The 27105-nt window shown below is 39.1% G+C and overlaps 1 protein-coding gene across 3 annotated transcripts in view, besides 1 other annotated feature; it reads right to left on the bottom strand.

The window, feature by feature from the left end:
- Window positions 1-27105, bottom strand: part of RALA (RAS like proto-oncogene A) — an 84549-nt gene that overhangs the window by 15404 nt on the left and 42040 nt on the right. For all 3 annotated transcript variants that reach the window (XM_047420682.1, NM_005402.4, XM_047420681.1), the window contains 2 exons: window positions 5936-6086; window positions 2127-2335 (listed from right to left, as the gene is read on the bottom strand). In XM_047420682.1, coding sequence (XP_047276638.1) covers window positions 2127-2335; window positions 5936-6049 — 323 coding nt within the window. In that variant the 5' untranslated portion in view covers window positions 6050-6086. The remainder of the gene's footprint in view (window positions 1-2126; window positions 2336-5935; window positions 6087-27105) is intronic.
- Window positions 3593-3887: an enhancer, noted in NCBI's record as "tiled region #6412; HepG2 Activating non-DNase unmatched - State 15:Elon, and K562 Activating non-DNase unmatched - State 14:Gen5'". NCBI's record gives its function as "activates a minimal TATA promoter and a strong SV40 promoter by Sharpr-MPRA in HepG2 and K562 cells {active_cell/tissue: HepG2 | K562}" and the evidence as "EXISTENCE:reporter gene assay evidence [ECO:0000049][PMID:27701403]".

Genomic DNA, 27105 nt, shown 5'->3' with positions numbered 1-27105 from the left:
AACCAATACTGAAAAAGCATAGTGTGATTGATGCTGGCAGAAACACGGCTGTAGAAAACCTGGACCTACTGGGTTCCGAGGTGAGAAGATGTTATTTTTTTAGAGTTAATAGATTGGTTTTACTAGCAACTTTGCTGGATGTCAGAGAAAAGTAATTCTACGGTATAAACTTCATATACATTTTGCTTAATATAATACTCCCTTTAAATACAGTTTTAGAGGCTATTACAGAATTTCAGAATAGGGAAGTACAATCTGGTCCAACTTCATTTTTGACATAGGAAAGTAAAAACCAAAAGGTAAAGGTTTTTGAATCAAGACAAATGTTTACTAAACATGTACTTACTATAGATTATATGCTATGAACTATGGCATATATAGGTACTGGGGATACTGAGACAGGAAAGGAATAGGTGTTAAGTGTGATACTGGAGCTGCAGCAAGGACATTGCATATATAGACGAGGAAGCAATGGATTTTGTGGATCACAGAGATGACCAGGAAGGCTAAAGGGAGGAGCTGATATTTATGCTACTGTTTTATTTATTTTTGCTACTCTTGCAGTTTAGACCACGTGGAGTGCCCACTGTAACCATTCAGACCTTTTCAAAAAAGCCTTTCACCAACAATATTGTTGGTGAGTCACTAGGGTCATTTTTATTTATGGCAGAGGCATTGGAGGTACGCCCTAAGAGTAATGAATCATCCTTATTTTCTATAATAGTAATAGCCCAAGATTCTTGCATGAAAATACCTTATTCTCTTGAAATATCACTTTGACTTTGGTGACTATGGTGATAACATTTATTCCATTACTTAGAACAAGACTTGCTACATTATAAGCACTCAAATATCTGCTGAATGAATAAGCATTGGCATTTATATAACTTTCAACATGTCTCCCACAATTACAAGCTACCAGAGTCTGCCATCCCTTGCATGTCATCATATATGAAATTTCTTCCTCATAGAAACCAACAAACTTTATGAATAAATCTATACTTCAGAGTTTCTCAATTACCTGCTTTTTGCAAAGAATGCTCTCTTAGAATAAGTTCTTGAGATTTTCAAGTGTGCATAAAAAGGAATGCTCTGTAAAAGCCTTGGTTTAGTTTTTTGCTCACCCACCTGAAATGCCCTCTTTCCTTATGTGTGAAAATCCTTCTTTTCTTCAAGCTCATCTATTTCATGAAGGTTTCCCAGCTTCTTTCCCCTCCCGGATCCTCTGCACTAACCACTGCCCATGTTCCTACTTTGTCACTAACTTGCTCTTGGTTAAATGCCTTATATATTCATCTAGGCTGTGTGAATCTTGAAAATAGAGGATACATTGCATGCTTCTTTTCTGTCCTCCATAATCAAGTAAGACACTTCACACAGAAATAAAAATATGTATCATTTAATTAAAGAACACTTGATTTATGCATGTAGTATTTGCAAGACCACGCAAGAACTCTATGCCAAATACCTCTTAAATATAGAGGAGCACCTCTTTCCCCTTCACCAAAACCACCTCCTCTAAAACCAAATGGATTCCAGATTTTAATTAAACAATAAATAATAAAAAATATTATATAACAATCTAATGTGCCCATCTACAGAGATATTATTTCTATTAAAAATTCATTCATTCTGAAGGTTCCCATGTAATAAGAAAAAGAAACAAAAAATTCAGTCTGTGCTATCAGGGCATCTATATTTTGAGGAGGATGGCAACGTGCCTACTGAGCATTACATAGGTGCTAAGAAACCATGACTAACAGAGAAAGATGTAAAACCTGAGTAAGCTCCATTATGTGCTCTAAGTATGAACTGTTATGGCAGTAGTAGTTTACACTAAAGAGAAATACTTCAGTAACTCATAGAGACTCTGGGTAACTGAAGCTGTCACAAAATCAAACTCCAATACAGGTGACACCGGGAGAGCTGTAAGACTATGCAAAGTATCCTAACTGTGTGTACATAACACAGTAGAGAGAGTCATATACTGATATCAAAAAGGGAATAAACACAATTAGAGACAGAGTAAAAGACTAACAAGTTAGAACCTCTAGTTGTCTACTTGTTTCTGGGGAAGAAATTGTTGTATAGTATGTCACAAGCAACAACATTACTCTAGGACATACCTGAAGTCAGCTGTAGCTGCAAAGGATTCCATTTCTGTAATAGAGAAAACACAGAGGAACCCCTCCCCACTTCGGAAGTAGTTGTCTCTAATTGCAGCGTAGTCCTCCTGCCCAGCTGTATCTAAGATATCGATCTGGACTTCCTCCCCATCTAGCACTACCTTCTTCCGATAGCTGTCTGCTTTGGTAGGCTCATAGTCCTCCACAAACTAGAAAAGATAAAAACACACCAATTTTTTAATTATTACGTTTCAAAACTTATTTTGAAATAATTATAAATTCATGTGAAGCTGCCAAAATAGTACAAGAAGAGTTCTGTATACCCTTTGCCCAGATTCCTCCAATGGTAAAAACTACACTAATTTTAATTTTAGACAATTTCTTGGTTTCCTCATTTGCAAACAGAGAGGGCTGAGTTATTACCTCTAGGCTGTTTACAGCTTGAAAACAGCTTTTCTTCCTTAAAACACAATACCTGCAAAAACTATTACACATATATTTTACCAAATTTATAATAGTCTTTTTTCTATGTAACTCTGAATATAAATTTTCATGCTAGAACTGTGGAAATAACTTAAAGGTCAATATTTTGGTAAGCACTGAAAGTATCATTAAATCCTTTCTTTTTCTAAAATGAACTAAGTCAATAAAGTGATTTACACTACTCAACAGAAAGTCAAATCTTAAACTTTATGAGACTTCTTCCCAAACTTTTGATTTTTTAAATAGTACAATTCAACAACTTTACATTCCCACTCCTATCGTCAGCCCCATAAATCTCACTTTAATATACCTTGATAAACCGTAGGCAGGCAGATGATAAGTATGTGTATATGTACGCAGACAAGGCCTTACTATGTTGCCCAGGCTGGTCTTGAACTCCTGGGCTCAAATAATCCTACTGCCTTGGTCTCCCAAAGTGTTGGGATCACAGGTGTGAGCCACCAGGCCCGGCCTATCTTTTGATATCATTGTTAGCATGTATTCATTTACACACAGACATTTGTGGGTTTTTTATTAGCTCTTGTAAATATTTTCATTATCTGATACATTCTTATTTATTTGCTATGACTGTATCTTGTCATTAGAATTTAACCCCTCAGAGCAGGGACCTTGCATATGCTATTCATCATTATATCTCTAAAGCCTATAACAGTGCCTGTTACATGGGAGATACTCAATAAATAATTATTTTAAAAATGGACACAGTGTATTTGTAACTGTAAAAGTTAAATAACATTCCACCACATTTACATGCTATTAATGTGCTTAGTCATTCATTACAAGTTAGGCATGTGGGCTGGGTGTGGTGGCTCATGCCTGTAATGCCAGCAGTTAGGGAGGCTGAGGTGAGTGGATCACTTGAGCCCAGGAGTTAGTTCAAGATCAGACTGGGACACATGGCAAAACCCCGTGATATGGTTTGGCTCTGTGTCCCCACCCAAATCTCATGTTGAACTGTAATTCCCAATGCTGGGGGAGGGATCAGGTGGGAGGTGACTGGATCATGGGGGCAGATTTCCCTCATGCTGTTCTCAAGATTGTGAGTTCTCACGAGATCTGATGGTTTTTAAAGTGTGTGGCACTTCCTCCCTTGCTCGCGTGTGCTCGCTCACACTCTCTCTCTCTCCCTCCCCTGTCCCAACATGTGAGGATGCACTTGCTTTCCCTTCACCCTCTGCCACAATTGCAGGTCTCCTGAAGCCTCCTAGTCATGCTTCCTGTTAAGCCTGTGGAACTGTGAGTCAATTAAATCTCTTTTATTCATAAATTACCCCAGTGTCAGGTACTTCTTTATAGCAGTGTGAGAACAGACGGATACACCCCGTCGCTACAAAAATATACAACAATTAGCTGGGCATAGTGGCACATGCCTATAGTCTCAGCTACTTGGAAGGCTGAAATGGGAGGATCGCTTGAGCCTGGGAGGTGGAGGTTGCAGTGAGCTGAGACTGCATCACTGCCAGGGCAACAGAGCAAGACGTTATCTTTAAAAAAAAAAAAAAAAAAATTAGGCATGTGAATATTCTTACTTTTGGCTTCCTTATTGTCAAGAGGAGACTGATTTAAGGATTAGTCTGAGAGAAGATTAGCTCTTAAATAAACAGTATGAAACAAAGAATTCAATGAATAAATCAGTAATTTCATTTAAAGTACCATTTCAATCCACTCTCCACAAACTTTTTTTTTTTTTAAGAGACAGGGGTCTTGCTCTGTTGTGTAGGCTGGAATGCAGTGGCACAGTCATTGCTCACTGTGACCTCCAATGCAAATGATCCTCCTGCCTCAGCCTCCTAAGTAACTAGGAAAACAGGCATGCAGCACCACGCCCAGCTAATTTTTTAATTTTTTCATAGAGACAGGGTCTCACTTTGTTGCCAGCTGGTTCAAGCTCCTAGCCTCAAGTGATTCTCCAGCCTACGCCTTCCCTAAACTTTTTAATTCGCTCACTAACAAGCATGGCAACTGACAGATTTAAGGGTTTTATGTATGTGTGTAAAAAGAATGGTGAGACACAGGCAACAGAAAAAGACATGGGGGGTTGGGTGCACTGGCTCATACCTGTAATCCCAGCTTTGGGAGCCCAAGGTGGGAGGATCGCCCTGGGCAACAGAGTGAGAACCTGGTCTCTATTTAAAAAAAATAAAAGGTAAAAAAAGAGATAAAGACATGGGGTGGGAAAAATCTGTAGGGATATTTTTAGTCAAAAGACTAGGTTTAACACTTTGTTGCTCATCACAGATCACTTTTCTTGGGTAAGCTGGGTAACTCTCTGAGGTTCTGTTTTCACATCTGTAAAATGGGGATATCACCATCTCCCACACAAGATTGTTACGAGGACTAAGTTGTCTGCAACCATAAAACCTGGCTTTTGTTGGGAGAAAACAGAAGTGAGGATAAATGCTTACATTGGATTACCAACTCTTAAATCATTAAGACTTGATAACATTCCTGCAGGGAAAGACTATATTGCTATATATAGGCTACACCTTAACTCAGGGATGATGAAGTCTGATATGAATACATGCATACAAATCTGTAACCTGTGTGGTAATTATAAATTTTAGTGACTTGGCCTGCTTAATGATGAATGTAGTGCCATGCCAAACACACAATAAACGACTTTTTCATCAAGTTTATTAAAAGAATTTTTTTTTTTTTTTGGGATGGAGTCTTGCTCTGTCGCCCAGGCTGGAGTGCAGTGGCGCGATCTCGGCTCACTGCAAGCTCCGCCTCCCAGGTTCACACCATTCTCCTGCCTCAGCCTCCCGAGTAGCTGGGACTACAGGCACCCGCCACCATGCCCAGTTAATTTTTTGTATTTTTAGTATAGACGGGGTTTCACCGTGTTAGCCAGGATGGTCTCGATCTCCTAACCTTGTGATCTGCCTGTCTTGGCCTCCCAAAGTGCTGGGATTAGGCGTGAGCCACCGTGCGTGCCCAGCCTAAAAGATATTTTATATATGTTAACCTCAAGTCTCTCTTAAGTATTATACACACCACTTCTATTAATTAAAGGTAGGAATCGCCAATAAAACCTAAAAACAAAAAAGCTAAAGTTAGATTACTAAAAAAAGGCGTACTGTTTTTAGTTTAGCTTTGTTTTTAAAGCCTGAGGTTTTTAAGGACCATAAGTTCCTGATTTGTAAAATCAAGTTATGTACAGATGGCTCTAAACACAAAAATGAAAAAAAAATTATTAGTAATTTCAAGGATTCAAACAATCCATACAAAATAGCACCAAAACTAAGCTAGGGAAATACTCTCTGAAAGCCTAAACTTTGATCCATTATAAAATTAGCACTTACCTCATCGTACATGAACTGTAGAGTCAGAGCTGACTTGCCCACGCCACCACTGCCCACCATGATGACTTTGTGTAAAGCCAAAGAATTCTGACCCTTGGGCTTATTTGCAGCCATTTTGTGTCTCAGTTTTCACCAAAGGATTAAGAAGAATCTAAGAAGAATGAAAGAATAAGTAATGCTCAGTACATTCTTCTTTAGAATTCCAGTGTAAGAAAGAGATATGTCCTTAGAGTTCAATATACTAGTTTTCAATCTGTAGTGATTTTAAACAGATGGCAAATGAAGTATGCTCACTTAGGGGAAAAACCATGAACCATTTATCAGAGAATACCATGGCAATAAAACAAGCCTATGACTCAAGGGCATTTCTCTTAAAATAGTTGGGTTTCAGTAATGAGCTATGATCAAAAGTGAAAATTTCCCAGTACAACTGCATGCTGACAATAATGGGGTATCAGCTGCACTGCAATATGTCCACACAGATACGAAAGCAGGCTAAAGGATCTCTTTGTTTTCACACTAATTTATATTGGCAATAATTAAAGAGATGTTTCTTCCTTTTTTTTTTTTTTTTTTGAGACGGAGTCTCGCTCTGTCGCCCAGGCTGGAGTGCAGTGGCGTGATCTCGGCTTACTGTAGCCTCCACCTCCCAGGTTCAAGCGATTCTTGTGCCTCAGCCTCCTGAGTAGCTGGGACTACAAGCGCGCACCACCATGCTTGGCTAGCTTTTGCATTTTTAGTAGAGACAGGGTTTCGCCATGTTGGCCAGGCTGGTCTCAAACTCCTGGCCTCTAATGATCCGCCTGCCTTGGCCTCCCAAAGTGCTGGGATTACAGGCGTGAGCCACCGCACCCCCGACCAAGATGTTTCTCTTGAGTAAGAAACAAGTGACCAAAAAAAGACTGCTAATGTGTTTACTACATCATGCCTCACATTAAGGACCTCATTGAAATGCTTACTTACTGCTATTTTATAGAAGAAGACATCCCATCCCAACAACTTGGTGGTAGAATTATAAACAGAATTCAACACTGTATACCCCAACTAACAGATTACTGGAACATCTGTTTCTTGGGATGGCTGGCCAATCTAACTTAAATGCTTGGATCTAGCATGCCTTCACTTTTCTCAGAGCATCCACTGTTTAATACATTTTTACACTCAGTGTGGAGAGGCCAGGTTCTTACAGAAGTTGTAGTGACCTTCGGCCATGCTGACTTGGCCTTAGAAAAAATCCTGTGAGGCCACAACAAACACTCTGAACGTGTGTGGAGATCCAAGCAAAGAGACTTTTTGTTATTGGGGGTTGAGGGGGTTGCACCCCTTGTCCTCAGCAACTCTTTGACTTGTTTCGGACACAAACAGCTTTCTAAGTTGCAGCTCCCAGAACCACGCCCCCTCCTGTTTACCTCTCTATCTTGGGCCAATCTTTCCTAGCTCAGCTGCATCAGACCCACAACGGTCTCCTTCTGTTTTTCACTTTTCTAAGCCTCTTGGCCTTTGCCATGCAGCTTCCTCTGTCTGGCATATTCTTATTCCATCTGGCTAACTCCTCTTGGTTTTTGGGTCTCAGCCTTACCTGAAACTCTCAACCTAAATTAGGTTCTCCTCTGCTCTGTGCTCTCAGATAGCATCTGATACTTTTCCTTCATAATCCTTATCACAAGTTGAAATTGCCTGAATATGTATTAGGTTGGCGCCAAAGTAATTGCGGTTTTGGCCATTACTTTCAATGGCAAAACCGCAATTACTTTTGCACCAACTTAATAGTATAAGTATTCCTCTAGTATACCAGAAACAGTGAGTTCAGGACCATGTTCACTTGGGTTAATAGTCTGCTTAATGTAACTAACATGGCTGGCAAAATCCGCCATTTAGTGCAAAAGCATTGAATGAATGAATGAATACACAAATGTTTGCAGTCTGACTTAACCCTGAGAAATGCTTTAAGCCAAGCTTGTCCAACCTGTGGCCCGTGGGCCACATGCGGCCCTTTGAATGCCCAACACAAATTTGTAAACTTTCTTAAAACATTATGCAACTTTTTTTTTTCTTTTTTTTTTTTTTTTAGCTCATCAGCTATCGTTAGTGTATTTTATGTCTGGCCCAAGACAATTCTTCTTCCAATGTGGCCCGGGGAAGCCAGAAGATTGGACACCCCTGCTTTTAGGTTGTACCGGTGTAAAGCAGCTCTTGCTACTAGAGGTTCAATCACAAATGGGCCAGGACAATCTGCCATGGGTCTGTGCCTCACATACGGGCTGTACAGGGCACCCAAGAACTGGGTGCGGCTTCAGGTCTCACCCATAAATCATTCCCATATGCCTGCTTGCCCAATATATAAAAGTATTAAGAAAAATCCCCCATAATCCTACTGTCCATTTAGCAATATGAACAGGCTAACATACCTCCTTGGAGACTGCTTTCAATCTACATTTAACATAACTGAGATCACATATACATAAATGCATTTTTTCATCCTGTTCTTATCATTCTATCAAAAGCATTTTAGCAGAAGCAGTTTGAACTGTTAAGCGTATGGCAAAAAATTTACACTTACAGGCTAAGAGTTCAATTTAACTCAACAAACACAAATTCAGCCACTCTTTTACCTGGGTATTGAGAACATGACCATTAGATTGTGAGTGCTTATCACTGCTCAAAAACAGTGAAAATTACAGTACACTGCAGGTAACTAAAAGTCTGAAAGATACCAAGTCTAAGCCAGTTTATGAAGCATGCTGTTGCTGGTGTTCCTAAATACATCAGGAAGTGACTTCTTTATTATGATCATTACTTGCTGGCAGTTATAATCATGTCACAGCTAATATATCTACTGTTTTATTTTTAAAACAGTACATATCACATGAGCTCAGGGCATTACCATATCAATTAATACTCTAAGAGTTGTGTGTGTGTGTGTGTGTGTGTGTGTGTGTGTTCAAAAGAAAACACTTAGCAGTCACTACAACTGGGTTAAAACACTTTTCCTTCTAGAATAATTTAAAACACAATCTGTGACTCAGAAGCAGAAAAGACAGAGATTTCCAAGGATGTTTTTCCAAAGTGCAAACATTTCCTAATAACTATGAGCTGCACATTCCAGACTATTAAGAGGCTATCCAGGAAAAGAAGCTTCTGCCAAGGAAAAACTACTCGACCCCCATTTTAAAAGACTTGGCACTCCACCACTTAATTCCCAAGCCCTGGTCTAGATATTGTTTTGAATGATAAACAAGCCATAGCCCCTGCCTATGTGGAACTTAAGACAAACACATACACAAATAAGCAAATACCATTAGTGCTAAGTGCAATGAAAAAAAATAAGACAGCAATGGGGGGAGGAGCTACTTTAACCAGATGGTCAAGGATGACTCTGAAGAGGTGGCATTTGAGCTGAGACCTGAATGTTTTGAAGAAACCAGTCAGCTCTGAGGGAAGAGCGCTCCAGACACAGGGAATAACAAGTACAAAGAACTTAGAAGAGGGTGGGAGTGGGGAGCATGTTCTAGGAAGCAGAAGAAGGCCAGAGTACATGAAGCCTAGTGTCAGTCTGTTTCCTGTTGCTATAACAGAGTATCTGAGACTGGGTAATTTATTTTTTAAAAAGAAATTTATCTCTTACACTTCTGAAGGCTGGGAATCCCAAGAGCATGGTGGCAGCATCTACATGGCTTCTGGTGGAAGGCATCACATGGCAAGTGGGCAAGTTTGCTGCCTCTTACAAAGCCACCAGTCTCATCATGGGGGCCCTACCCTGATGATCTTATCTAATCCTAATTACTTCCCAAAGCCCCACTGCCAATCAACATATGAATTTGGGGATTAAATTTCCAACACATGGCCAGGTGCAGTGGCTCATGCCTGTAATCCCAGCACTTTGGGAGGCCGAGGTGGGCGGATCACTTGAGGTCAGGAGACCAGCCTGGCCAACATGGTGAAACCCCACATCTACTAAAAATACAAAAAAAATTAGTGGGGTGTGGTGGCAGGTGCCTGTAATCCCAGCTACAAGGGAGGCTGAGGCAGGAGAATCGTTTGAACTCAGGAGGCGGAGGTTGCAGTGAGCCAAGATCGTGCCACTGCACTCCAGCCTGGGCAACAGAGTGAGACTCCGTCTTAGAAAGAAAAAAAAAGTGCCAACACATGAAATTTGCAGGACACATTTAAACCACAGCACTTAGTGAATGACTGGAGAGTAAGAGGAGGTAAAATTGACAGGTAGGCAGAGGCCAAATCACAAAAAGCCTTGAAGGCCCCGGAAGTGTTTGGATTTTACTAGAACTGCAATGGGAAGCCTCTGGAGTTTTTAAGAAGGATAGTGGTAAAATTTGTGTTTTTAAAAAGATTACCCTGGTTGGTGTGTAGAGAATGGACAGTGGAAGTATCAAGAGTTGAAAGTATAGGAGGCTATCCCAGTAATCCATGCAAGAGAGGACAGAGGCTTGGGGTACAGCAGCAGCAGCAGCAGCAGCAATGGTATTACCAGTTCCCGTATAACTACTAATACCACCTATACTGAGGACAACCAACATTTACTGACCACTCACTAAGTGCAAGGCACTGTTCTGAGCACTCTGCACATACTAATTCAGCTGAGTACTACATTTCAGATATTTACAATCCTAGGCGATATGTACTATTTTAACTTCATTTAACAGATGAGGAATCTGGGTCACAGATGTCAACTTGCTCAAGACCGAGCCAGAATTCAAACTGAGGGAGCCTGCTCTCCTAACCACTATGTTATTTGGAATACATTTTGAAGAAACAGTTGATAGGACTTCCTGATTGACTGGATGGGAGAAAACAAGACTAACCTTTAAGTTTTTGTCCCAAATATCTGAATGTTAGGCATCTATACCTAAGATGGAGAAGGACCAAGAAGGAATAGGTCTGGGAAAGAAATCCCAAGCTCTGCTTGCACATTAGACATTTCAACTAGAGTTGAACAAGAAAAACTGAATGTTTTAGTCTAGAGTTCAGGGATGAGGGTAGAGATGGAAAAAAAATTGCACGTCAGTTTACAGATGATATTTGAAGTCACAAAATGGCATGAGCTTTCTTAGGGAGAAGATGAAGATAGATACGAGAAAGTGGCAAAGGAAAGAGCCCTGAAACAACTCAACAGGCTAGTTCAGCAGGAGATCTAGTAATCGCACAGTCACTGAGGCTGGCTGACTTAAATCCTGCCGACCGACTGAGGTGAGATATGAGGAGAGACAAAAAAGAGCTAATTCTGTGCAAGATGGAGGTTGTTGTTAATCTTGGGAAGAGTCATTTCACCAATTGAGGTAAGAATGGGGTGGGTAGTGCATGCCAGTAATCCCAGCTACTTGCAGGGCTGAGGCATGAGAATCGCCTGAACCCGGGAGGCTCCAGTGAGCCAAGATCCAAGATTGCACCATTGCACTCCAGCCTGGGCTAGAGAGTAAGACTCTGTCTCAAAAAAAAAAAAAAAAAAAAAAAAAAAAAAAAAGGAATAGGGTGGGTTTGGGTTGAGGAGAAACAGAAGGTACAGAATTGGATTTTTACTCTCAAGATGAATGGAGAAATGCAATCATAATGGGAAGGTGTTGTTAGGAAAAGGGCTTTTTGTTTGGCTGCTTTTTAAATGTTATTAGGGGATGTCTGCATAACAATCATCCAAAAGAGGCATAAATTAATGATCTAGAAGACAGAGTGAACTCTAGGAGCAAAGTTCTGGAGTGAACCAGAAGAATTAGGACCTGGAACATAACAGGAGCAGGGACATCTCTTCCTTTGTAATGGGAGGTAAGACAATGCAAAGAATAGGGGTATAGATGCCGGCTGCAGGTAGATTTATTTCTTTGACTGTATCTAAATTTCTTCAATGAAATATAACCACAGATAATTTTGCGAGGGAGCCGGAATTCAAAAGCAAGCCTGTCTAGATAGATCAATAGAACAGAATATACAAAACCAGATTCAAATACATACTGTAGTGTAGTGTGTAATAAACGGTGGCACTTCAAATGGGGGTGGGGGAAGACGGAGAATAATTCAACAGGTAGTGTTTGGACAATTGTCAAGCCAACTGGAAAAAAATAAAAGTTGGATCTATTCTCCTCATACCAATATAAAGCCTAAGTAGATCAAAGATTTAAGTGACAAAATGAAATCACAAAGGCACAAGGAAAAAAATATGAAAGAACTGATCATCTTTTTTAATCTTTTTTTTTTTTTTGAGACAGTCTCGCTCTGTCACCCAGGCTACAGTGCAGTAGCGCACTCTCGGCTCACTGCAAACTCTGCCTCCTGGGTTCATGTGATTCTCCTGCCTCAGCCTTCCGAGCAGCTGGGATTACAGGCATGAACCACCATGCTCAGCTAGTTTATATATATATATATATATTTGTGTTTTTTTTGTTTTTGTTTTTTTTTGAGACAGAGTCTCACTCTTGTTGCCCAGGCTGGAGTGCAATGGTGCGATCTCAGCTCACTGCAACCTCCGCCTCACCAACCCCAGGTTCAAGCAATTCTCTTGCCTCAGCCTCCCGAGTAGCTGGGACTACAGGTGCATGCCACCACACCTGGCTAATTTTGTATTTTTAGTAAAGACGGGGTTTCTCCATGTTGGTCAGGCTGGTCTCAAACTCCCGACCTCAGGTGATCTGCCTGCCTTGGCCTCCCAAAGTGTTGGGACTACAGGAGTGAGCCACGGCGCCCAGCCTGTTTCATAACCTTAGAGTGGGGAAGGTCTAAAGTATTACATAAAACCCGTCATAAGTTTGAAAAATTGTACTACTGAAAAAAATTTCTGGCCAGGCGCGGTGGCTCACGCCTGTAATTCCAGCACTTTGGGAGGGTGATCATGAGGTCAGGAGTTTGAGACCAGTCTGGCCAACATAGTGAAGCCACATATCTACTAAAAATATAAAAATTAGCCAGGCATGGTGGCGCACGGCTGTAGTCCCAGCTACTCAGGAGGCTGAGGCAGGAAACTCACTTGAAACCGGGAGGCAGAGGTTGCAGTGAGCCAAGACTGCGCCATTGCACTCCAGCCTGGGCAACAGAGAGTCTGTCTCAAAAAAAAAAATTCTGCATGGCAAAATCTTCTAGAAGCAAAGTAAAAAGATAAAACTGTGGAAAACATTTGCAATTCATTTTACAGATAAGAGATGATTTCTCTATATAAAAAGCTATACTGCACTTCTCACTACTGCACTTGACTAGTCTTTAAAATAGTTACTATAAATAAAAAACTGCAGGAAATTGGGCAAAAAATATGAATAGTCACAGAAAAGGATATACAAATGACTCAGTATACTTGACCTCACTGATAAGATAAATACAAATAAAGCTATACTGGGATAACGTTTTATCCACCAAACTGATAACTGTATGTTTGCAAGGGCCAGCAAACCAGAGCCCCCTTGACTTGTTTTCGTATGGCCTGTAAGTTAAGAATGGTTTTTGTTTTTGAAGGGTTGTAATTAAAATCAAACCAAACCAAGAAGAATACGTAACAGAGAATGTGGCTTGCAAGCCTAAAATATTTTCTGTCGGCCCTTTACAGAAAATTTTTGTCTATCCGTGGTGTAGAGAAATAGGCATATTCAATGATTGCTGGTGGAACTGTAAATCTGATACATGGAATAATATGTAACCACAAAAAATGAGGAAGCTCTTTACGCACTGAAATAGAAGGAACTCCAACACAGAGCTAAAGTGGAAAAAAAAAAAAAGATACAGAACAACATATCCCATATGCTATGCATTGCCTAAAAACATTAAAACAAAAAAGGAACATTCAGGATTTGCCTGTTCATATATTTGGAAGGATTTTTTTTTAAAATGGTAACACAAGGTTGTCTGTGAAAATGGAAACTAAGTCACTACAGAGGTGAGAGAGTATACCATTTTGTACATTTGATTTTTGTATCATGTAAATGTATACTTTATTTAAAAAATATAATTAAAACTAGTCATAAAATAAATCAACAAAGCCCACTTATTTATTCTACTTGGCAAAACTGCAATTAACTATGTTCTTGGTACCTTATATAAACTAGAAATTGGAGGTATGAGCTTGAATTTTAATTAAAATACAACTTATCCACATGTACATGCCTTTGTATTTTTCCCCTTCAAAGGAACAGGGGTCCTTGAATTCCAAATTGTGTGACTTATTTGGCTCCTCAATTATTTTCTGTCTCTTACCGTTCAACTTTTTAAAGTGATATCCTAGAATAATACTATAGAACCTATTTGGGGTGATGGGTGGGCTTCAAGTTTTCAAGCTCACTTCAAGCTTTGCTTCATCCAGAAACTAGACAACTACACCATGCTCATACGAGCTACTTATTTCCTTTCTTCTTTCCTCCATTTTTCCTTCTCTCCAAAAATACACCAAGGGCCTACCTTACTACGTAAGGCACTGTGCTAGGTGCTGAGGCTATGGAATCCTGCCCTTGTATGTTTAGTTAACAGGTTCCACAATGTATTAGTTTCCCGTTTCTGCTGCAGCAAATTACCACAAAATTAGTGGCTTAAAACAACACACATTTATTCTGTTACAGTACTGGATGCCAGAAGCCCAAAATGAATCTTTTTTTTTTTTTTTAATTATACTTTAAGTTTTAGGGTACATGTGCACATTGTGCAGGTTAGTTACATATGTATACATGTGCCATGCTGGTGCGCTGCACCCACTAACGCGTCATCTAGCATTAGGTATATCTCCCAATGCTATCCCTCCCCCCTCCCCCGACCCCACCACAGTCCCCAGAGTGTGATATTCCCCTTCCTGTGTCCATGTGATCTCATTGGGAGAAAATTTTCGCAACCTACTCATCTGACAAAGGGCTAATATCCAGAATCTACAATGAACTCAAACAAATTTACAAGAAAAAAACAAACAACCCCATCAAAAAGTGGGCGAAGGACATGAACAGACACTTCTCAAAAGAAGACATTTATGCAGCCAAAAAACACATGAAAAAATGCTCATCACTGGCCATCAGAGAAATGCAAATCAAAACCACTATGAGATATCATCTCACACCAGTTAGAATGGCAATCATTAAAAAGTCAGGAAACAACAGGTGCTGGAGAGGATGTGGAGAAATAGGAACACTTTTACACTGTTGGTGGGACTGTAAACTAGTTCAACCATTGTGGAAGTCAGTGTGGCGATTCCTCAGGGATCTAGAACTAGAAATACCATTTGACCCAGCCATCCCATTACTGGGTATATACCCAAATGACTATAAATCATGCTGCTATAAAGACACATGCACACGTATGTTTATTGCGGCATTATTCACAATAGCAAAGACTTGGAACCAACCCAAATGTCCAACAATGATAGACTGGATTAAGAAAATGTGGCACATATACACCATGGAATACTATGCAGCCATAAAAAATGATGAGTTCATGTCCTTTGTAGGGACATGGATGAAATTGGAAACCATCATTCTCAGTAAACTATCGCAAGAACAAAAAACCAAACACCGCATATTCTCACTCATAGGTGGGAATTGAACAATGAGATCAAAATGAATCTTAAAGGGCTAAAAAGAAGATGCCAACAGGGTTGGTTCCTTGAGGGGGCTTCAGGGGAGAATGTGCTCCTTGCCTCTTTCGCTTCTAGAGCCTGGGGCATCCCTTGGCCCCTGGCCGCATCACAGAAGCACCACTCTGCTTCTGTGGCCATACTACCTTCTCCTCTACTTTAGCCAAACTCAAACCTCCCTCTACTTCCCTTTTATGACACTGGTGATTCATTTGGCCCAACCAGATGATCCAGAATAATCTCCTCACTTCAAAATCCTTAATTATGCTGGCAGAATTCCTTTTTGCCACACAGAGCAACATTCACAGATTCTAGGAGTTAGGACATGGATATTTTGTGGGGCCATTACTCAGCCTACTGCTTACCATACACAGGAAAGTGGGTCAAGGAGCTTCGGACCACAGATCTCCAATCCAGACTCTAAACTCTCTATCTTAAACTTTAAAAATTATTCTAAAAAACAATCAACCCGTTTTTTCAATACTTACTAAGGAATACTCTACCAAGTAAGGTGTCAAATACCCCATGCCTGCCAAAACAAAAACCCCAATGATCTTTGTATGTCCAGAATTCATTATTATCTTCTTTAGATTTTCGATAGAGAAGCTCATTACAGGATAAGCACAGCTAATCCAAAAATCCAAAATGTGAAATGCTCCCAAATCCAGCATTTTTTAGTGATGATATGACCCTCTAAGGAAATGCTCATAGGAGCATTTGGGATTTTTGGATTAGGGATGCTGAACCGGTAAGTATAATGCAAATATTCTAAAAGCTGAAGAAAATCCAAAATCCCAAACACTTCTGATCCCAGGCATTTCAGATAAAGGATACATAACCTGTTTTAGGCTTCAGTCTAATAAAAATATTGGCTGGTAAAAGTTGTGAGAGTCCTTTTTAATAAACTGATTCAAGGAAGCATTTCCCTTGCCTCTGATCTGAACGGTGCATTAAAGGCTTATGATCGGCTGGGTGCGGTGGCTCATGCCTGTAATCCCAGCACTTTGGGAGGCCGAGGCAGGCAGATCACCAGGTCAGGAGATCGAGACCATCCTGGCTAACACAGTGGAACCCCGTATCTACTAAAAATACAAAAAATTAGCCCAGCGTGGTGGTGGGCGCCTGTAGTCCCAGCTACTCGGGAGGCTGAGGCAGGAGAATGGCGTGAACCCAGGAGGCGGAGCTTCCAGTGAGCCTAGATCAGGCCAGTGCATTCCAACTTGGGTGACAGAGTGAGACTGCCTCAAAAAAAATAAAAAGACTTATGATCATTAAAGTTCTGCCCCTATCAAATCATTATAAATTTCAAGTAGGTAAAGGCCGTCTTAGTGAATGGAAAGTATTTCATATAAACAACTCACACATGATACTCCCTATCTGCATTAAGAATATTTGCTCAATTAAAAAAACACAGGTAATATAAAATGAACAATTTCAGAAGAGGTAGAATATACATGACCAAGAAAAGGAGATATACAGTTTTTTTTTTTTTTTTTTTTTTAATTTCCCAGACATGGTCTCACTCTGTTGCCCAGGCTAGAGTGTAGAATGTAATGGTACCATCACAGCTCACTGCAGACTTGACCTGCTGGGCTTAAGTGATCCTCCCACCTCAGCCACCTGAGTAACTAGGACTACAGGCACGCACCACCCTCAGCTAATTTTTAAAGTATTTTGTAGAGACAGGGTCTGTGTTGCCCAGGCTGGTCTTGAACGCCTGGGCTCGAGCGATCCTCCCGCCTAGGCCTCCATGTTAGGATTACGGGCTGAGCCACTGTGCCAGGCCCACAAGTATATTTTCCTAACTGACAGAAGAACAAGTATCATCAATACAGGTTGAGCATCTCTAACCTGAAGATCGGACATGCTCCAAAATCTGAAACTTTTTGAGCATTGACATGATGCCACAAGTAGAAAATTCTACACCTGACCTCATGTGACCTCATGTGGTCAAAACGCAAGTGCCCAATACAGTTTATTCAGCATCCCCAGGACCCTGCTAGCTCTCTTCAGCTGCAATGTATCTTTTCTGCACATGCCCAGATTCTCTCATGCAAGCATTCCCACAGAGCAGCAAAATGGTTCCACATATACAAACTTTGTTTCACACACATAATTATTAAAAACTGGCTCACGCCTGTAATCCCAGCACTTTGGGAGGCCAAGGCAGCCAGAGCACCTGAGGTAAGGAGTTTGAGAGCAGCCTGGCCAAAATGGTGAAACCCCGTCTCCACTGAAAATACAACAAAATTAGCGGGGTGTGGTAGCGTGTGCCTGTAATCCCAGCTATGCAGGAGGCTGAAGCAGGAGAATTGCTTGAACCCAGGAGGTGGAGGTTGCAGTGAGCTGAGATCATGCCACTGTACTCCAGCCTGGGCAACAGAGGAAGACTCTGACTCAAAAAAAAAAAAAAAAAAAAAAGCATAAAATTACCTTCAGGCTGCTATATGTATAAAGTGTATATAAAACATAAATGCATTTCATGTTTAGACTTGGGTCCCATCCCCCAAGATATCTCAATATGCATTTGCAAATATTCCAAAATCCAAAAAAATCTTGAAACACTTCTGGTCCCAAGCACTTAGGATAAAGGATACTCAATCTGTACTATTTAATGTCTCAGAGCACAGGGAAAGCTTCCAAATTCTTTTTAGCAAGCTAGGCTAACAGTGATGCAGAGTACTGACAAAAATAGAATAAAGACAAAATAGAATGATTGGACTATCACATGAATATGGGGCAAAGAATTCTAAGTGAAAAATGTTAACAGATAGAATCTAGCACATTAAAAGAATAAACCCAAGTGACCAGGTGTGATTCAAACCAGATACGAGAATGGCTTAGTAAGTCATAATTTCTGATATTAATAGATGAAAAAAATCATATGAGTATCTCTACAGGTTCTAGAATAATATTTGATAAAATTGTTCATAAAACAAGTAGAAATAGATTATTGTTCACTTAATCACATGGAAACTGTCTTAAAACCCAAATCAGGCCCAGTACAGCGGCTCTAATCTGTAATCCCAGTGCTTTAGAAGGCTAAGGTAGGAGGATGGTTTGAGCCCAGGAGTTTGAGGTTACAGTGAGATATGATTTTGCCACTGCATTACAGCCTGGGCTACAGAGTAAGACCACCCCCCCTCAACCTTTTATTTATTTATTTATTTATTTATTTATTTATTTATTTATTTATTTACAGTGCATGCCTGTAGTCCCAGGTAATTACTTCCAGGCTAATTTTCTTTGTTGAATTTTTAGTAGAGACGAGGTCTCACTATGTTGCCTGGGCTGGTCTTGAACTGCTGAGCTCAAGCAATCCACCTGCCTCGGCCTTCCAAAGTGCTGGGATTATAAGTTTGAGCCACTAGGTCTGGCCAACCCTCTTAAGGGAGACCCTGTCTCTTAAAAATCATTTTTAATGACAAAATAAAAGCACTTCCATTAACATCAGGAGTAAGATAAGGGTGGCTGCTAGCATCACTCTTACTTGGCACTGTTCTGGAAGTGGTACCATATTAGAAAAGGAAAGAAAGAGGCAAATGATCATTATTAACTGATAATATGATTTCATACCTAGAAAGACCAAAGGAATCAACTGCAAAATTACTACAAATAAGAGATTTCAAAGGGTAAATGGTTATATAAGGAATATAACATATACAATTAAATTTCTTCTCAAATGACAGAATATATAATGAAAGACCCAATTTACAACCTCACTCACAAAGAGTATATAACTAAGAATAAAATTACCACTATCTGTGTAAGATATACATGAAGACAGTTTAATAATAACACTTAAGTAACATAAAGCATGACTTGAATAAATGAAGACAACCTGTTCTTGAGACATAAAGAGTGTATTTTGGTAAAGGTACAAAACTCTGACAGTAAAAAAAGACTATTAATTATGAAAATTAAAAATATCTTCATGATTAAAAAAAACCTAGTAAGTCAAAACACAAAGCACCTGACTCAGAAGTCTTCTGATCTGTCTCCTAAAGTTTTCTTCACCATAAAATTTGTGAAGATAATTTCTCTCTTTTTTTTGAGACAGAGTCTCGCTCTGTCGCCCAGGCTGGAGAGCAGGGGCACGATCTCGGCTCACTGCAACCTCCGTCTCTCAAGCTCAAGCAATCCTCCCACCTCAGCCTCCTGAGTAGCTGGGATTACAGGCGTGCACCACCATGATCAGCTAATTTTTGTATTTTTAGTAGAGAAAGTGTTTTGCCATATGTTGAAAACTGACTCGAACTTTTTGAGGGAAGGTTGATTTACATACAATAAAATTCACCCTTTTAAGTGTATAGTTTAATGAGTTTTGATAAATGTATACAGTCATGTAACTACCATCACAATCAAGGTACAGAACATTTCCATTACCCCAAAAAGTTTCCTCTTGTCCCTTTGCAGATAATCTTCTCCATCACCCTGGCAGCCACTGATAGGATTTCAGGCCTTACTGTTCTGCCTTTTGGATCATAATGTATGTAGCTTTTTATGCCTGGCTTCTTTCTGTTAGACAAGGCTTTTGAGACACACAAATATTGTTGCATGTATCAGTGCATGCATCTTTTTTTTTTTTTTTACGACTGAATAGTATTCCATTGTCTGGATGTATCATGATTTATGTTATTTCCATTTTTTAAAATTTTATAAGTAAAGCTGTCATAAACTTTTGTGTACAGGTCTACACATGTTTTCATTTTTCTTGGGTAAACAACAGATGCAGAACTGGTAGGTTGTATGGTGTGTGATTAAATGTTTTTCAAAGTGGCTGTACCTTTTTGCATTTCCACTAACAATGTATGAGATTTCCAGTTGCTTTCACATCCTGGCACTGTCCCAGGCTTCTAATTTTAGGCAGTCTAGTGAATGTGTAGTGGTATTTCCTTTTAATTTGCATTTTCCTAATAACTAATCATGTTGAGCTCTTTTCATGTAGTTACTTGCCATCCATATGACTCTGGTGTTCAAATCTTTTGTCCATTAAAAAACTTTTGTTTTGTCTTTTAAGTGAGTTTTAAGAGTTCTTTATATATTCTGAATCAAATCCTTTCCAGAGATGTGTTTTGAAAATATTTTCTTCCAGTTTGTGGCTTATCTTTTCATTTTCTTGACATATTTTTTGATGAGTATTTTTCTTTATGCTTTTGGTGTCTCAAAAATGTTTGACATTTTAAGTGGCAAATTAACTACTATGTTTTGAATATTTACAAATAAAGCCTTATTATTTAGTTAATAATTTATTATAAAGAGATGGAAGGAAGTCAAAAAAATGACATTAGTTATAACTGACATCCTAAATAGTTAAACCCTCCATTTTAAATACGCCATCAAGCTCGGTAGGAACAACATTCAAAGAAAATCCCTGCGGCATTTTTCTACTTTTGAAACATAACAACTTAGTATTTTCACGTTACTCTAATTGTACTGAATAAGAAGAACACAAAATAATAACAAAGACTGAACTAAGAAAAGTAATATTCTGTTTTAAGGGTACAGTAGTTGATGGCTTAAAGATGGTTTAACGTTTTGCCTTGTCTGCAAAATAAAATTTATTTATAAGACTTGCCAGACATGTTGTCAGACATCAAAGCACAGAATCTTAACATAATGAAGGGTCGAGTTTTATCTCCCTGGGTTTCAGCTTGTTTGTAACACTAAGGTTAACATTAATAAAACAGCATATGTAAGATATCTAATATGCCTAAATAATTATTCAATAAAGCGTAACAAATATTCAGGCGTCTTTTTAGAAGACCCTAACTTTATATGCCACATATACTCAGTCCACAGTCAGTGCAAAATCATTACCAGTAGCACAAAGGTAAAGCCCTTACCACAGTTAAAACTTATAAAAAATTTCTAAAACACATGAGAAAGTGATGGCTGAGACTTGAAAGACAAAGCATTAGCAAATTAAGTGAACCTTGGGGTGACAGTAAGAAAGAAAGCTATAAAAAGTAAAAGGGCCAAAGACAGAACTTTATAAACCAAGTCTTTAGATTTTTATCCTTAGAGCAATGGAGAAGCACCAGGAGTTTTAAAAAAAGAGACTGGGACTCAGAAGGCAGGAAGAACAGGTGGAAGGCTACAGGTCAATGATGACTTGAGTTAGGACTAGGGAGGTGGGACAGATGGATCTAAAAGATATTAAGAAAAAAAAAGAGTCAAATGAACTAGATTAGTTGTGAGGGGTAAAGGAAAGCGAGAATTTAAGCCAAAACAACAAACTTCCTAGCTTAAGTGACTATGGTAAGGAAAGGAAAGGAAACAAGCAGCTTCTGTGGGACCAGTTGGGAGTAGGAGGGGAGAGAAGAGTTACTGTAAGGAAATGATGGAAATCAATATTGATCTATTAAAAGATCAAAATATTTAATAAGAAAAATCTGAGAGTAGCTTAAGAATAAGCAGTTTTCTTACCCCAGCCCCAGTGGTTTTGCTACTAGACTATGACCTGAATGTTTTCAGCAATATTGAGAAATAAGTAACAGGGTAGAACCTGAAAGGTGGAAAAGGAAATAAAAGACTCATAAACTGCTATTTATATTTTAATATTTGTTTTTAAACCCCTGTGTTTTCAAAATAAGATATAGTTTAGAAAAGCATTAATAATTAATTGCAAAGATATATGTGTGCTTCCATATTCCTATGCTAATTCTGGAAGGATACATCACCTTTTGAATTTTGATCCATGTGAATGTATTACATATTTGGAAATTAAATACATAGATGTTTTTATTTACTGAATTTAACAGCTTACAAAATTGAATAAAGAAATAATGTTCAGCTGAGCATGGTGGCTAACACCTATAATCCCAGCATTTTGGGAGGCTGAGGTGGGAGGATCACTTGAGACCAGGTGTTTGAGACCAGCCTGGGCAACACAGTGAGACTTTGTCTCTACAAAAAATAATAAAAATTACCTGGATGTGGTGGCACACGCCCGTAGTCCTAGCTACTCAGGAGGCTCAGGTGAGAAGATCACTTAAGCTCAGGAATTTGAGGCTGCAATGAGCTAAGATTGCACAACTGTACTTTGGCCTAGGCAATACAGCAAGACCCTGTCTCTACAAAAATAATAATAATGCAGGCTTAGATGTTTAATAGATCTAATCTTTAAAAGTATAATTTAAGTAATTTATATCTGCTTTAGGTTCTATGTATGAGCTACTACAAATTAAGCATATATATAGCCTGGTAGTTTGAGTTTCTGTTATTGATATATTTATGAACTTGATATTGTCCATGAGAGCTTTGTTAATTTTAAAAAATGCAGCCAGAAAAAATAACTGAATTAACCATGCCTGAATGATCCAGTTTAAAAATGAGTAGGGCACTTGCTTAACTGATTAAGACTTACATCAAACCATGTATTAGAATAGTGACAGAAAGTTTACTAGCAGGCTTTTTTTTTTTTTTTTTTAAAGAGACAGAGTCTCGGTCTATCACCCAGGCTGGAGTGCAGTGGTGCTATTATACCTCACTACAGCCCTAAACTCCTGGGCTCAAGCAATCCTCCTGCCTCAGCCTCCTGAGTAGTTGGGACTACAGGCACGCCTGGTTAATTTTTTTCTATTTTTTTTGTACAGACAGGGTCTCACTATGTTGCTCAGGCTGGTCTTGAACTCCTGGCCTCAAGTGAACTTCTCACCTTGGCTTCCCAAAGTGCTGATATTATAGGCATAAGCCACCGTGCCTGGCCCACAAATGAAATATTTTAAAAGAAAAATCTAAGCATAGCCTCTGGTTTACATGAAGACATCTGTTAAATCCCACTCTTTAACACATGTTTCATCTGTAAGTTGGCTCTCTTTGTATAGCTGCTTCTCTGATCTTTTGGTATGCTTCTGGATTTCCTTTTTCTTTTTCCTATGACTATATTCTGCACCAACATGTATTTATTGAGTCAGGTACTATGCTAGGCATTGGGAGAGGGTGGGGGATAGGTTCATAGGTGAGCAAGTCAAGATCCTTGACTTCAAAGATCTTAAAATCAAGTACAGAGATGGAGCAAGAGGGGGAGGGAAAGGATGTATTAAATTCTTATACATCATTTTGCCTTTTGCATTCCTTACTACTTACGTCCCACTTGTATTTTTATTTTATTTATTTATTTATTCAGACAGAATCTTGCTCTGTCGCTAGGCCGGAGTGCAGTGGTGCGATCTCGGTTCACTGCAACCTCTGCCTCCCAGGTTCAAGCGATTCTCCTGCCTCAGCCTCCTGAGTAGCTGGGACTACAGGCAACCGCCACCATGCCCAGCTAATTTTTGTATTTTTAGTAGAGATGGGGTTTCACCATGTCGGCCTGGATGGTCTCGATCTCTTGACCTCATGATCCGCCCGCCTTGGCCTCCTAAAGTGCTAGAATTACAGGCGTGAGCCACTGCGCCTGGCCTTACTTTATCTTTTCTTTTCTTTTTTTTTTTTTTTTGAGATGGAATTTCGCTCTTGTTGCTCAGGCTGGAGTGCAATGGTGCGATCTCGGCTCACCACAATCTCTACCTCCTGGGTTCAAGTGATCTCCTGCCTCAGCTTCCCGAGTAGCTGGGATTACAGGCATGCGCCACCATGCCCAGCTGATTTTTGTATTTTTAGTAGAGATGGGGTTTCTCCACGTTGGTCAAGCTGGTCTCAACTCCCGATCTCAGGTGATCCACCCACCTCAGCCTCCCAAAGTGCTGGGATTACAGGCATGAGTCACTGCGCCCAGCCTTATGTTGTTTTACTGACTTCATAGCTGTAATTTTTAATGGCTATGTAATATATCATCCTGTAGACACAAAGCAATTAACTTACCATAAACCATAATATAAGACATTAGAGCTGTTTTGAATTCTTCAAAATTATAATGGATGACCACCTATTTCTACATTTAAAGTACTTTCCATGAGATAGACTCTAAGAAATGGAAAATTAATAAATTGACTGTTTAAGGTTTATCATGCACATTGTCCAAATGCTTTCTTAAAGTGCTGTACTTTAGCACAGTAACTATGCTAGTATTGCTAGTATCCCTACTGGCATTGTGTATTCTTTTAAAAAACCTGCTACTTGTATACTGTGAAAAATATCTCATTGTTATTTCTAATTATATCTCTGATTTCTTAAAGAGGGTGGATACTTTTTCTATGTAGTATTTATTTTGTGAATTGCTAGTTCTTATCCTTTACTCATCTGGCAATAATATCTTGTATCACATTTTGTGTAATTTCATGTCACCATTGGCTAGACTTTCTTTTATCTTGCTCTCCCAGTCCACTATAGTAAGTTTCCTCCGTTGTTGGGTAGATCTGCTTCTCACAACAGATCAGGAAGACACTTTAAATTCACTGGGTATTTAAAGTTTCACTTTAGGTTCATGGGCAAGAAACAGGTTGACAGATTGGCTCCTTCTCCAAATATCAAAAGAATAGAGTTTACCCTGGGTTGTTAACATGTTCATTAGAACTCCTAGTCCTCCCAGGCTGTGAGTTCAAAAAGAAATGTTTTTCGAAATAGATTTCCAAAATTAGCATGGAACAGATGTTGCTGCAATCTTTGTATGGGCTGGTTGTGTGGGCAGGATATCAAGCTAGCTTTTCACTTATATTCCTTTAATTAATAGCAAGTCCTATCATCTCTTCTGCCCTCTGTTCCTATTGACTCATTGCTTAAAGTCTCTTCAGGACTCAGTGGGGAAGAAGAGATTCCCCCTACAGGCCTCCCTCACGGGAATGCTGGGTAGCCCTTCCTTCGCCCTGCTTCATCAATCAGCACCATCTGTCTTCTGTCTTCTACAACCTAGAAAGTCTCTGCTTTGCTGATGGTCACTCCATCTGTTCTCATTCTCAGTGCTATTACAGAATTACAAATTTCTGTCTGTAAATTCTTTTTCCTGTCTTTTCACAGGGAGTTGGGGATAAGAGGAGGTAGACACATATATTTAGTCTACTGGCTTTCATTACCATGAACTTGAGTTAAAATCCTGAGTTGACTTGATTTGGAACCCCAAAATATTTCAAATTTAGAAAGTATAAAAAAAATTCCAAGACATTCAATTAAAATTAGCCTGAGTTTTAAAGAATACTATTTTTCAATACCAACTTCAAGAGTAAATCAGTTTTCTGATATGGATGACCAAAGAATCATAAATAAACACAAAAGTTTAAGATGGGGCAAGACCTGGCATCAAAAAGAGTGGGAGTGAGGCAGAAATAGGAGAGAAGAGAAAGGAAAGCTAATGGTCTGAACTGCTACAGAGAAGGATTGAAGTGATTTTTTTCCCCAAAAATGTTTTTTTTCTTCAGCATTGGGACAAGCTGGCTAAAACTCAAAATTTATAAGAAGATGTATTGATCAAAGCCTTGAAAATTAAGCATTGACATTATTTTTACAAACCAGGAATGTAAAGCTAAAGACTGACTCTATAGCAACAAAGATTCCCTTTGTGCCAATTAACCTTTACTACAGCTCTTTTACAGACCACCTGCTGAATTCTTACTTTGTGGAACTGCGGGTGAATAGCCAATTCTTTTTAAGGAGTAACAGCGAGCAGCTAAGAAGAAAGAAAGAAAATATAAAGTAGTAATCTCTTAAATTCTGACTTGTATATGTGGCACCCCACATCCATCCAGTCAGGTTAACCTCTTAGTATGTACTGTTAAGATCCTTCCTGTATAAGTAAGGCATTGCGAATGTCACTTTTTAAATTTAAAGAATCCCTTTGGCACTGAATATAAAATATATTACCTGAAACTATGTTTAATGACAACTATTATCAGTTACATTCTCCATCACAAATCTGTTTAGCACAGACTCACTTCCACAGGTGATCTTGAATGCTGTTGAATACGCCTAATCCTACCATTTGAGTTCATCACCTTCCAACACACACAGGCACAGGTGGAACTTGAGCTCCTCCTATCCTCAGTGTTTTTTCATGACTATAAAAGTAACATATATTCATTATATATAACTTAGAGAGTAAAGTCAGAAAATGTCACCTTTGTGGCCCTGACACCCAGTATACATTTTTTTTGAATTTTTACTCTCTTCTAGGACTATCTTAAACAAAGTAGTCAACCAGTCACAAAGTTCAGCAAGCTAAGAGAAAAATTCCAAGGAAAGCAGGAAAAAGAAAGAAAAAAAAGGGAGATTAAAAAATCCAAATAACTGGATAGGACAAAAACCTTGGGGAAAAATAAATATCTTCCTATTTATTGAGTGCTTATTCTGTGTCAGACACTTTTTCAACTGCGTACTTAATTATCTCATGAAACCCTCAAAACAACTTTAGACCTATCATTCACATTTTATAGGTGAGAAAATTGAGCCATATCAAGCTTTAAAAATGTGCCCTAGGACACACTATTGATGTGAAGCCAGGATTAAAAAAAAAAAATTCACATCCTAAGTGTTTGCCAACTAAACTTTATCACCACTATGGAAGAAACTAGTAAGAATGACCTTACACAAAGGTTAGAGGCAATTTCTCTTAAACATAAAAAGATAATTCTCACGGGTGGCACAGAAAAGCTACCCAAATCATTTTATAAGGTCAGTGGTATAAAATAGCGATAATCACACCAAAAAAAAAAAAAACTACATTGCAGTCTCATTTATGAACAGAGAAATTCCA

This window comes from Homo sapiens, chromosome 7 (genome assembly GCF_000001405.40).
Source record: "Homo sapiens chromosome 7, GRCh38.p14 Primary Assembly".
Taxonomy (NCBI): domain Eukaryota; kingdom Metazoa; phylum Chordata; class Mammalia; order Primates; family Hominidae; genus Homo; species Homo sapiens.
Note: the sequence above shows the minus strand (reverse complement) of the source record. Positions and strands in the feature narration are given on the sequence as shown.